Source organism: Homo sapiens, chromosome 9, assembly GCF_000001405.40.
Source record: "Homo sapiens chromosome 9, GRCh38.p14 Primary Assembly".
In the NCBI taxonomy this organism is placed as follows: domain Eukaryota; kingdom Metazoa; phylum Chordata; class Mammalia; order Primates; family Hominidae; genus Homo; species Homo sapiens.
Genome location: NC_000009.12, coordinates 121,851,627 through 121,864,414, shown reverse-complemented (window position 1 = coordinate 121,864,414; position 12,788 = coordinate 121,851,627). Strand labels below are relative to the sequence as shown.

Here is a 12,788-nt window from a genome sequence, read left to right as displayed (position 1 = left end):
TCATGGTACTCTATTTCCTGGACTTTTCTTCCACTGAAGAATTTATCCTTCCACTCATTAGTCATTTGAAGAGCTGCATCCCCAGGCATAAGGGAAAACTGTTCTCAATGATTAAGAGCCACATTTTTACCCCAGACTCTAAGATCACGTATAGTCTCTGAGAACGGTATCCAAGGCCCATTCAGCAATTCATTGCTGTCCAAGCCCAGAATACTGCCTACACAGAGAGGACACAAATAAATTCTCATTCAGTGGATAGATGGATGAAAAATTCATTCCAAAGTCTTGATATCTTGACTGTTGGAGTCATTCATTTCCTGTTTGAGTTTATTGAGAATGTTTGGTAACCACAGGGCAAATCCAAGCACCCTGGTTGCTTAGCCCCAGCCCCATATCCCAAAGCTTGCCACAGGAGTGCTTTAGAGGCTCCAACCCTTCTGGTCCCTGGCCTGAGACCTGGTTTCTTGATTCCTGAATCCCTCCTGCAGCCCTGGACTGGGCCATCTCCCCACAGCTCCCAAGCCCACTACTCTATCTTCCAAGGATGGACTAGATGTGAATTCCGGCTGTGTGACGTTGGGCAAGTCACGTCCCATCTCTTGAGCCTCAGCATACGCTTCATTGAAATGGGATCAGGAATACCACCCTCAAGGAATGGTTAAAATCCAGAGAGCTGATGAGCAAGAAAAGCCCTAGCATACAGATAGTGCCCAAGAAATGCCTACAGAATCAAGATTCTTTTAAGGCATTTGCATTTCCTGCCTACCGCAGCCAGCATGGATCCCTCCTCTGTCCCAGTAGCAGATGCTGCAATCAACTATATTTGCAGGCATCACTAGGGAGGAAGAGTTACCTTGGAAAGGGAATAAACGGAGAATTTCTTTGGTAAATTACGGCTCCTGCTAAAGGTTTGACACTTCTATTTTCTACCTGTCAGAAAAAAAATGACTATATACCAGTGGTCAGTTTGGTTTCCCTTTTAATACTCTATTAACCCACAGAGCAAGCTAGGCAGCGCTCCTGACTTGTGGAAGAGCAGGTAGCCCAGAGGACACTGATATGATAATTAAAGGACACTGTGGCTGTTCCTAATGAAGCTTTGTAAATTAGCAATGCAGGCTGTTCGAATACCCTGGGAGAGACTGGACCATCCTCCCCCACAGAACCCAGTAGATAGCCGTCTTGGTGACAAGTGACGTGAAAACCTCCGCGTCCATTGACATGTGGTTACTGGGGCTCAATAACCGTGTGCTGATGTGCTTTGAAGTCTGCCACCGCGACTCGTGATTGAAATACGGAGCAGGAGCCCAGGAGGAAGCAGGATGTGCATTGATGGCCTGGGAAATACAGGCGGGAAGAAAGAAAGGGAGGAGGGAGGAAGGGGGCAAGAAAGTGTGCTGGCATACAAGGAGCACCAGGCTCGTCTGGGCACCATGCGGGGCACATGCCCAGCCACTGTCATTAGGGGTGCGCTTGGGTTTGGAGAGGGGCCTCTGATGCCCAAACCCTGCTTGCCAATCAACCCCTCCCCTGTCCGGTCCCTAACAGAGCTATTCACACAAGGGATAATGGCAAATGGGAAATCAAAGAGCCACTTCACCATTAGCTGAGGCAGTGGATGTGGATTCGTTTGAAAAGTTGAAAGCGGCATTGAATGTAGTTCAGCCAACCTGACAGCTGGCCCAGAGGCCTAGCTTTCAGGATTCCCTGGACAAATCTAGCCTGCCTTGGGACAGGCCTCCCAGCACGATCCTGTCCAGGACAGGGGTGCACCTGGACAAGCCAAGGGCTGCTTCCAGTCTGAAGAGAGAGCCCAAGCCCTGTACACAGATATTCCAACTGGTGTACTCCATTTCTCCAGAACGGGCAGGGTCACTCACTGAAAGGTTGGGCTCCAGGCAGCCTCTGGGGTGAGATGGCTCTAGATCTAGAGGAAGAAAAGGGAAAAGGGGGAGAGAGTTGGGGAAGGGAACTCACAATTGCTGTGGGCCTACCAGGTGACAGGCACCATGCTGGGTTCTTGGCATGTACTCACAACCATGTGGGCAGGTATTATCATCTTCATTTTAGAGCCCAAGAAATAAAAGCACAGAAGGTTTAAGTAAATTCCCCACAGTCACACAGCTAGAAAAGATTCCAGTCAGGATTTAAATCCTAATCTGTCTGATGCCTAAATCATGCTCTTTTTGGCATACCAGACTGCCCTCCCCTCCACATTTCCAGACCAAAAAAAAAAAAAGCTGGGGAGGGGTAGGAGGATTCTAAACACCCCTGCTGTGGCATGGACAGGGAGCACCAATGCTGACATCAGACTGAAAACCTGGTTACTGTGGCCTCCCTGCACCTAAACAAGTGGAGCATCCAAAGCTCAGAGGCCCGTCCCCCACAATCCTCCTGTCAATTCCAGGTGACTCCCCTAAAGTCAGGAACAAGGAACCTCCCCAGCAATTCTGTGTCAGCCCACACAGAGCAGCAAGGACCCAGCCTGTGCTGTTCTGCTTTATAAATCTGGGGCTTAGTGTGGCTGATTCAGGGCTTATGTAGAATCTTCAGGTGACAGATTGAGATGGGTAAAGTACAGAAGCCTTGAGCCCTTGTCCATAGATTTGTCCTCAGGGACTCATCTGGTGAGCATTTCCAGTGGGAAATTGCTTCTGGACAGTAGTGATGGCTTCAGCCTGTACTGTTGACATGCTGTCATCCTTGGGTCATCTGAGCATGACACCGTCAGCTGCCTGGACACTCCAGGAGAGGGCAGTGCCGAGGGCCTAGCTTCCCCTCCTCCTTCTGGAGACTAAGAGATAGGAAGATGAGGACACGTTGCTGGTGGTATTTCTTGACATGTGGAGTTTGTTCTCTTTTAGAGCAAGCAGGGACCCACATTGCTGTGCAAGGTCAGGCTGACACACAATGACTATAATAAAGACCACCTGTTTTATAGATGAGGACACCGAGACTCAGAAAGGTGAAATGTTTTAACCAGGGCCATGCAGCTTCCAAGTGGCAGAGCCAGGCTACAACTCAAGACTTGCTCTCCTGGCCAGGCACAGTGGCTCACGCCTGTAATCCCAGCACTTGGGGAGGCCGAGGCGGGCGGATCACCTGAGATCAGGAGTTCAAGACCAGCCTGGCCAACATGGTGAAACTCCGTCTCTACTAAAAATATAAAAATTAGCTGGGTACCTGTAATCCCAGCTACTCAGGGGACAGACGTAGGGAGAACTGCTTGAACCCAGGAGGCAGAGGTTGCAGTGAGCCGAGATTACAATACTGCACTCCAGCCTGGATGACAGAGCAAGACTCTGTATCCAAAAAAAAAAAAAAAAACACTTGCCTTGCTTTTCTAAAGTTCTTGCTCTTTCCAGCCTGTTAGACCCATAACTAACCAAATGGCTGAACTTACAGGAACCTGAGGATCTAACCTCACTTACATCACTGCCTTCTCTACCATGGCTCCATGCCAGTCACCCTGCGGTAGTTCCAGCTGTGGTAAGGGAGGACATTCCAGACCCAGAACACAATCCAAACAAAAACAATGTCAGTCGGTTCAGGCTGCTAGAACAAAAATGCCACAGCCTCAGTGGCTTAAACAACAAACATTTACTTCTCATGGTTCTGGAGGCTGGGAAGACCAAGATCAAGGTGCTGGTAGATCTGATGTCTGGTGAGGACCCAATTCCTGGTTTGCAGACGGCTGCCTTCTTCTATGTTCACATGGTGGAGAGTAGAGAGGAGGCAGGCTCTCTAGTGTCTCTTCCTAGAAGAGCACTATTCCCATTCCCAAGGGCTCCACCCTCACGACCTAATCACCTGTCAGAGGCCCCACCTCCTAACACCATCACATTGGAGGGATAGGATTTCAACCTATGGATTTGGGGAGGACAAACATTCAGTCCCTAACAGGAGTGGAGGAGAGATAGACAGGACAGGTTTCAGGCTGGCAGTGACATGTCACTTCCCATTGTTGGCAGGAGCTGCAAACTCAGCAGCAGCAGCCTGTCCATGGCTGCCGTGGACATCCTCTACATTGACATCACACGGAGGTGGAACTCCATGACCCTGGACCAGCGGGACTCAGGTATTTGACAAATGCCTCTGCCATGGCCTGTGGGGGTCCTGACAGGCATGGGTGGTATATTTTCTGTTCCTTCTTGTCAAGGGTTCAGATGGGGGAAGAAGATGATGCCATCAGATCTAGACATAATCCCAGGGATTGAGCTGAATTTAAATGCTGGAGCACTGTCTGCTACCGAATTCTCATACCACCGTTAGCATTCCTTGCCTTTGCTTAAGGCTCAGATTCCATCCATACTGGGAACACTCAGTTATTCATTCATTTGTTCACCCCTCACACACATTTCCTGAGCAGATGCTGGGCCCAGCCTTGGGTGGGCTGGAGGGTATAGTGCTTGGTTCTCGTCCTGAAAGAATTCACTGTAGCATTGGGAGGCAGATGAGAAAATGATGCTAGGTAGTAGGATGCCTGGCTCGGAGGGAGAGAAGCTCAGAGAAGCTATCCGGGAACTCAGCGGAGGAGCTCCTCATCCAGGGAGGGCCAAGGAAGACTTCAGGAGAAGGGTGTACGGGATCAGCTGGTGAACAGGGCTGGGACAGACACTCTGGCAGGGCTATTGCCTGGCCGTGGCCTGGACACAGGTGAGGCTGTTGAGCTTAGACCATACCAAGTAGCCCAGATGGGCTGGAGCAAAAAGGGATGTGAGAAGGGGTAGAGATGGGGTTATGGGAGCTGTCAAAGCCTTGAATGCCACACAAGAAAATTTGATCTTGATCCTCTAGGTTCTGTGGTGAAGGGTTCTGTGAGAAGAACCCACCTTTAGGTGGATGAGTTTCCTATCTTTTTTCTCACAGAGGGTGTTTCTCTCTCTCTCTTTTGTTTTTTGTTTGTCTTTGAGACGGAGTCTCACTCTGTTGCCCAGGCTGGAGTGGTTGCAGTGGCACGATCTCAGCTCACTGCAACCTCTGCCTCCCAGGTTCAAGCAGTTATCCTGCCTCAGCCTCCCAAGTATCTGGGATTACAGGTGCAAGCCACCATGCCCGGCTAATTTTGTATTTTTTTTTTTTTTTCAGTAGAGACAGGGTTTCATCATGTTGGCCAGGCTGGTCTTGAACTCCTGAGCTCAAGTGATCCGCCTGTCTTGACTTCCCAAAGTGCTGAGATTACAGGCGTGAGCCACTGCGCCCAGCCCAGAGGGTGTTTTTCTAAAAAAATTATAATAACCATAACTGATATTTGTACAGCTCATCACAAAACTTCAAGGTCCTTTCATGCATATTTCCTCATTAAATGTCCCGGTAAACCAGTGCAGTAGGCATTATGAGTCTCATTTCACAGACGAGTAAACTGCAGCTCAGGTGACACAGATCACACAGGAACTGTGAGCCCGCAGCACCCTGGCACCCACGCCACGCCCTCTTCTGGCTGCCTCCCTCCAAAAGGGACGCACAGAAGGGAGGCACCGGGTCGTGAGGAGTGGGGCAGCTTGCTCCTGTGAGTCTGTGGAGAGGACATGAAGTCAGGTTGGGAGATCCAGATTAGAATTGATTATGCCATTTCCTGCCCATGTCAGCTTGAAAAGTCATTCCACCTCCTTATCTCCAGTTCCTCATCTGTAAAATGGCGCCAACAATCCCTGCTCTCCAGGGTGGCTCTGAGGTCTTTGGAGTCCTCGCTGATGGTGCGAGGCAGTTTATCTTATTAGTGGACACCCCTTGGGGAGAATCCTGGGGGCAGTCTGCCTGGCAGCTGTTGCACCCCTAGCCAATCCTGCCCTACACCCATGTGGGCCAGAAACTTCCCAACTACAGAGATGCAGCCGGTCCTTCCTGCAGGGCACTGGCGCTCAGACATCATTTGCTGTTTGGCTTTGTGTTTAGTAGTGATGCTCCTGGCTGCCAGTTCTTGGCCAATTCTTATATGCCAAGCACTCTGCAGGCACTTTACATGTGCAGCACCGGCTAGAATTCTCCTAGAGGTAGATATGATTATCTCCATTGTGCAGAGGAGGAAACTGAGGCCTAGAGAGGCATGGCTGGTGGATAAGGTTCAAACACCAATCCACCCGAGCCCGTTCCAGGTTGCCTTCTCCTACTCACTGGTCCTAGAGTGAGATGACCACCGAGCTCCCTGCAGCTCCCCTTTCTTTAAGTCAAAAGCAAAACCCAGGAAATAGCAGCAGTCATTGAATCAACAAGATGAGTGCCTCTATCGCATCTCTGCAGTTGGCAGCTCCCTTACAGCCCTCCCTGGCAACCAGGAGAGGCGTGAGATGGAGCGTCTTCAGGAGAAGTAGGCAGATTAATTATCATTTCGAGGACTGAGAGTGCTCATGTGACAATCGAGCAGCGGCACTTTCTGCTGACACCTTCAGAAAGCAAAGAAGTGTTTGCTCTGTGAGCTGAATGTGGGGAGTCATCCAGGATCCCACGGAGGGGGCCAGATGAGGGGGTGGGAGTGGCAGTGGAATTATTAAATATTGAAATTGATCAGGAGTAGCAGCAGGAAGCTATTTATCATGTTTTATTGCTGCAAACTAGCATTACCATCTGGCCCATTGTTAATTCTGAGTAGTTTTTCATGTTTTGTTTGCCTCTTAAATTGCTCCCGGTAAGCGGAATCCACGGGGGCTGTCCGCAATTCAAGCTCCGGTGAGGTTTTCTGGGGTCTGCCAGGGTCTCCGTATTCTGCTGACCAAGCTATGGAAATGAGAAAAATACTTATTTTTAGCACATACTGATAAGCAAATTCAGGGCTGGGATCTCCCAGGCCCTTGGCCAGACCTCAGCCCCTGACTAGGTGGAATAGTCATCACCAGGTGGAATAGTAGTAACAGCAGTTTTGAGATTACTTCACTTGTGCATATATCGCTGCAAATTCTCACGCCAGGCCTTCGAGGTGGGCAACAGCACCCCTTTTTACAGATGAGTACCCTAAGGTTCCAAGAGCAAAAGTGACTTGTCTAAACTCCCACAGCCAGGGAGCAGCAAAAGAAGGCAAGATTTGAACTCAGTCCTCCTACCTCCTCACCCAGGGTGCTCTCCCCCCATCCAGGGCTACACCAAGCAGTGCTTGTTCACTTAAGTGATACAGAGGGGGCAGGGCTGGTGAAGCAGGAGTCAGAGGGGACGGCAGCAGCGGGAGGATAAAAGTCAACTCACAGGGCCTGCTGGGAGGACAGAACTGGAGCAGAGAGGGTGCCTGTCCAACCTCCTGTCTCCCTTTCCTCCGTCCTCTGAGTTTTCCTCACTCCTGGAAGGAAATAGCAGGGCCTGGGGGTCTAGGAAGTGGGCCTGGGCATGAAAGCCACACATGGGAAGCCTTCTGTGCCTGTGGTCTCAGGAGCCACTGCTGGTGCCAGCCAGGGCCCAGTTCTTGCCTCCTTCTCAAGGCTGGTCCAAGCCCCTGATTCTCAAGGAGAGGGGCATCTGGAGACAGCCACCTTCTTAGGACCGTTCAGGAAGCTACTGAGTAGCAAAAGGAGCAGTCTGTGGTTAAGTGGTCGTTCTTCCTTTTGCCAAGTGTCAGCAGAAAGACCAGAGGGTCTTCTTTTCTTCCCTCCATGGTGTGGATCCAAGGGGTTCGAGGCCCTCAGATCCAGTTAGGTACTGGCTGGAGGTGTGGGTGCCATGCTGAGGGAGACGGCTTTCCCCATCCCACAGCTGCTGGGGGCTGAAAAGAAAGAAGCCTGTGAAGAATGATAGAGCCTGGGTTCTCACGCTCAAAGAACACGTACTCATTCATTCATTCATCCATTCAACTAACAGCTAGTGAATGTGTTACCAGGTATTGTGCCCTGCAGGGATATAAAGATAAATTAGGTACAGATCCTAGCCTCTTAAGGGAAAAAAAGAGACCATTTACTGAACATTTATGTGAGACAAAAATAAAAAATGCTTGCTAAGAATTACCTCATTTACTTCTCACACCATCCTGTGAGATAAGCATTGTTATTCCCATTCAACAGATGGAAAACCTGAGCCTCAAAGAGGTGAAATTACACAGACACGTCAAGTATTACAGTGGGGGCCAGTAGCAGTGGCTCATGCCTGTAATCCCAGCACTTTGGGAGGCTGAGATGGGAGGACTACTTGAGGCTAGGAGTTCGAGACCAACCTGGGCAACATAGCAAGACCCCGTCTCTATTAAAAAACTTAAAAATTCACCAGGCATGATGGCAGTTGCCTATAGTCCCAGCGACTTGGGAAGCTGAGGCAGGAGAATTGCTTGCACTCAAGAGTTCAAGGCTGCAGTGAGCTGCAATTGTGCCACTGCACTCCAGCCTGGGTGACAGAGAGAGATCCTGCCTCTAAAAAATATATTACAGTGGGGACCCTAGTATTTGAATAAAAACCAGTCTAACTTCAGTGTCTGCTGCCCTTTCCATTATACCCAGTGCTCTCAGTCACAAATGAATATGACATACAGTTGACGATTGCAATAGTATATGACCAGAGCTATCATGGGGGGAAGCAACAGAGGAAGGTTGCTGTGAGGGTTAAGATAGAACGCATACAAGGCACGTAGCATGCTGTGACCCAGAAAAGCCACCCACTGTGCATTCTGTATCCTTGAGGGCCTAGCACATGGCCTGGAACATGCAAAGCATCTCGCCCAGTGCCCAGTTAATGTTTGATGAGCAGACAAATGCAAAAATAAAAGATGCCCTGCATCCTCAAAGCAGGGAATCCTGAGTGTGAGAACCGTGGCTCAGAGTAGAGGTGGTCTCTTTGACAGGGTCTCCCTCCCCTCCTCTGAACGCCCATTTGGACTGGATCATCACCCATACCCAGTGCCTGCTGTGTCAAAGTGCTAAAGCATCTTCCCCTCTCCCGCAGCCAGCCAGACCTTCCTTCTGCCGTTATAAGACTTTGGTGCCCACTGAAGGGGTTAACCAGATCCCTGATGCTTGAGACCTTTAAGAACAAAAATAACCTGCAAAAGGAGACCTTGCTATTGAAATGGAGAAGAAAAAATGGTGCTTAAAATAATTAGGAAAAAAATAAAAACTAGTGAGAAAAAGCATGCACATGATGAAATCTAAAACTCAAATAATCCGTTTAAATAAATTTGCTTTTGATTGTTTGTTTTGTGTTTTATTAGACCTCAGGTGCATAGAATTAGATTAGCCATCACCCATCACCCTGGGTTCATGAGACACTTCCATCATGATCCACGCATAACCTACTTTTATTTAGTTAGCTTTTTAAATTAGCTATTTTTAATAATGGAATAAGCATCCGCAAACTCACCACTCAAAACAAAAGCTAGAATTTGACAGTGACCTACATCTAATATGTGGCTCTCCCCACCTAAGGAACCCCCCGTCTGCACCCTGGGTTCATCATTCCCCAAATGGGCTTGCCTTCACCTCTGTCAGAATGTCAATGGCTCTTCAAGAGCTGGATGGAATTTAGTAACATGTAGCTTATGCTCTCCAGCATGCCAATGTTAATTGTCATTTAAAAAAAAGATAAGAATTTTAATTTTCACTTCTAGAATTTCCAGCAGGACACAGAACTCTAAATGAGGATGTTATCAGCAAAACTGGGATGTCGTAGCCCTCGAGTAGCCCTCTCATTGCCCAGAATTCAAATAAAGAAACAAATTTGTCAGTGAAGATGCATTTATTTCATGTAAATTGCACTCAGGAGGTCCTTCTTATCATGGAGACTTTGCCCTCAGCTCTTTCCAGAGTGGAATTTCACATCTCCGTGGTAAGAGATGAGGACAGCATCAAGATTAGGCAATTAAAGGCAAAATCATGGTGTCAGCTGTGAGAGACAAACATTTTACTCGCAAAGGTAACATTTGAGCTGGGCAACCAAGAATCTTGTCCTGGTCCTAACAAAAGACCAACATCTGGGGGCTTCTGAACTTTGTTTACTTCAAAGCCAGATGTTTTTGCTATTTTAAGATATAAGCTAAAGGTCCCTTTCAGTAACCAAAGGGAACATGAGAGCAAAGGAAGAAAAAACTGACTGTGGAGTCTTCCCCACGTCCCCTTCCCATGAGAGCTCAAACACCACACACCTCTTGCTTGGAGAGGGAGATCTAAGAATGGCATTGTTTATTATCTGACATATGCTGAGTGCTCTTTGACCAAAATAAGAAACATTTCTTCCACTGCTTGATGAGCTACATGCCTGCCTCCTGAGCTATGTGCCCAGCTCCGGGGGCTGCCTTGGGTTGACTTGCTATATACCCAAAGCCACAGTCTCCAGAATCAGACAAACTGGGCTTTCAATCTGCGCTTGGTCACTTGCTAGCTAACCTCAGGGAAGTTAGGCAACTTCCTCCAAGCCTCAAGTTCATCAGGTGTAAAGTGGAGATAATAATGGTGCCTGCCTCCTGGAAACCTTGGGATGGATGAAATGAAACAAAACACGGAAAGCGCTCAGGGCCATGTCTGCCTGTGGAAAATGCTCAGGAAGCGGGTCTGCCCCTAGTGTGATCCCATTGCTCCTACTGCACTACTTTCTCGGGAAGTGCTTCTGGGGCACCTACCCCTGCCAGCTGCTCTGCAGGTGCTGGGGACAGAGATGGGAAGAAGGGCCTGCCTCACAGCCAGATGAGAGGGTCAGGACGTGGCCGCAACAGACTCTCCCTTGGTGGCTGACAGAGTGCCAGGCCCTCCTCATCCCACCCTGGCGACAGTGGGGACAGTGAGGCTGGGGAAGACAGAGGAAATGTGGTGCTGGCAGCCTCGTCCATGGCTGTGTGAAGCAGGAGCCCTGCCTGCTCCCATCACTTACAGGCCTGTGCCGGCCCCCAGCTGCCTGCAGTCACTGGTCTCACAATTCCAACCCCAGGGGAGGACATTGGCGCATTTCAGGGCCTTGAGAGCTGGACCCCTGTCCACTCTGCATCCCCACTCATCACTAGCCTCACACTCACTCCAGCCAGAATGGCCGGCCCCCTCAGGCCCCCACCTCTGCAGGAACCCCCTCTCCTTGCTCACCACCACCCCCCAGGTCCCCTCCCTCACAGAGCCTCCCCCAGTGCTCAGGCTGGGCCCAGTACCGTCTCACCTGCTCCGCAGCACCCAGCGCTGCCCTTGACCACAGCACACATTGAGTACTGTGAAAGGGCCTGGACATCTGCCCCCGACATGAGGCCAACATCCAGGAAACAGAGCTGTTCCCGCCTGCATGAGGCCAAGCACTGAGACTGGCATCTAGCAGGTGCCCTGCTACACATGTCCCATGGACCAGGGCTCAGCCGCGGCAACCCACCAATCCCATGGGTGTCTGAGCCTCATGACCATCTCTCAGCAAAATCCCTCAGTCACCGACTGCGAGTCATCTGACGCCTCTGCTCACATCGGCTGGAGTAAGCCCCAGCTGAAATGTATTTGGTTAACGATGCACTGAAATATTGAAGAGTATTTTCATTTGGAATGTTGAGCGCAGTCTCCTTTATACATAAACATGGCTTGCCCCCTCCCCCTGAAATACAGGAGGCCTCGGATAAGTAGGCCAGTTTCACGCAGCGCCTCGTGCGAGGTGTCTGGCACGAACGATGTTCTTCAGCCTTGAAATTATCTCGCAGTCAGATGGGCCTCTCTGGATGTGTGCCCTACACGCTTACAAAATAGTTGGCGTCAGAATTATTTTTAATAAAAGCAAGAGAGCCAGCAGAGATGCCGGCTCAACCTCCCCCTCGCTCACCCAGACCCTGATCTCCCAGGCCTGCTAAAGCCACTTCTGCACCCGTAGTGCCACCAGACTAGGTGGAGTCACACCCGCTGCCCCTTTGTCGGGCGAGTGCCTGTCCTTCCTCATCCTCAGTCACCTTGAGGGTGGAGAGAATAGGATCTCTGCCCATCGTCTGGCCCCACCCCCCAAAAACAGACAAAGGGGAGAAAGCTGAATTCTTTTTGATGTAGGCCTCCCCTCTCCCTACACTTGTTGCCCACCATCCCCAGATCTTGTAGGAACAGCAGCCGCAGGATCCAGTGTTGTGTAGAAAGCCGGCAGCTGAGTTAGACAGGCCGGGTTTCAATACTCTGCTACCTTCCCTCGGGAAGCCCTGAGAGGGGGCACTGCACCTCTGGGAGCCTCAGTGTCCTTTGAAATGGGGCAATGACATCTACCTTGGGGCACTGTCAGGATTTAGTGATAAAGTATGCACCTGGCCCAAACAGTAGCTTTTTCTCTGTCTAACCACCACCATCCTTCCTGGTGGGTGTGTGTGTCACAGATTACAAACCATTTCCAAAGTCACTTGTCCACACAGTGCACACACTCCCAGTGAGCTCTACCGTGACCCTATATACAGAGGAGGAAACCAAGGCTCAGAGGGCTAGAAACAGCTCCACAGGCAGGCAGGGGCAGAACAGGGGCCAGCCCCGAGTCTCAGTCCTGGTCTGCCTTGCGCAGTGACAACCGTCACAGGCACATGAAGATGTGAGCCCCGTCCCGGCCCTCAAATTCTCCCAGGCCTGAGAATTGGGCAGAGCTGTGTTTAGTAGGATGGTCTGGCCCTTGGTCTTGGCTAAGCCTGGCGTTAACAACAACAGCATGTCCAGGGAGCTCTCGGGGCTGTGAGGGCTTCCCCCCCACCACTCCTCTCATCCATCCGTTCCTCCCACAGCCTGGAGCAGGCAGTAAATTGTTTGCACACACTTTATTGTTGCAAAACACAGCACTCAGTGCTCCCAACTGCACTGAGGGGAGGAATTTCTCTTATTCCAGATTTAGAGCTGTGGAAATAAGGATGGGACGGGTTAGGGGCCACCTCCAATAGCCCCTGCAGTGCTCAGGCTGAGACC

The 12,788-nt window shown here is 50.2% G+C and overlaps 1 protein-coding gene across 6 annotated transcripts in view; it reads left to right on the top strand.

The window, feature by feature from the left end:
* The window catches only part of TTLL11 (tubulin tyrosine ligase like 11), a 277,635-nt gene that overhangs the window by 228,894 nt on the left and 35,953 nt on the right, over positions 1-12,788 (top strand). For 4 of the 6 annotated variants that reach the window (XR_001746188.2, XM_047422825.1, NM_001139442.2 and 1 more), the window contains one exon: positions 3,972-4,078. Coding sequence is in view for 5 of the 6 variants with exons in the window: in XM_047422825.1 (XP_047278781.1) it covers positions 3,972-4,078 (107 nt within the window). In the remaining variant the exon portion in view is untranslated. Of the gene's footprint in view, positions 1-3,971; positions 4,079-8,853; positions 9,101-12,788 lie in introns of those variants that run through there. The other 2 variants (NM_001386831.1, NM_001386832.1) reach the window with 1 other exon arrangement.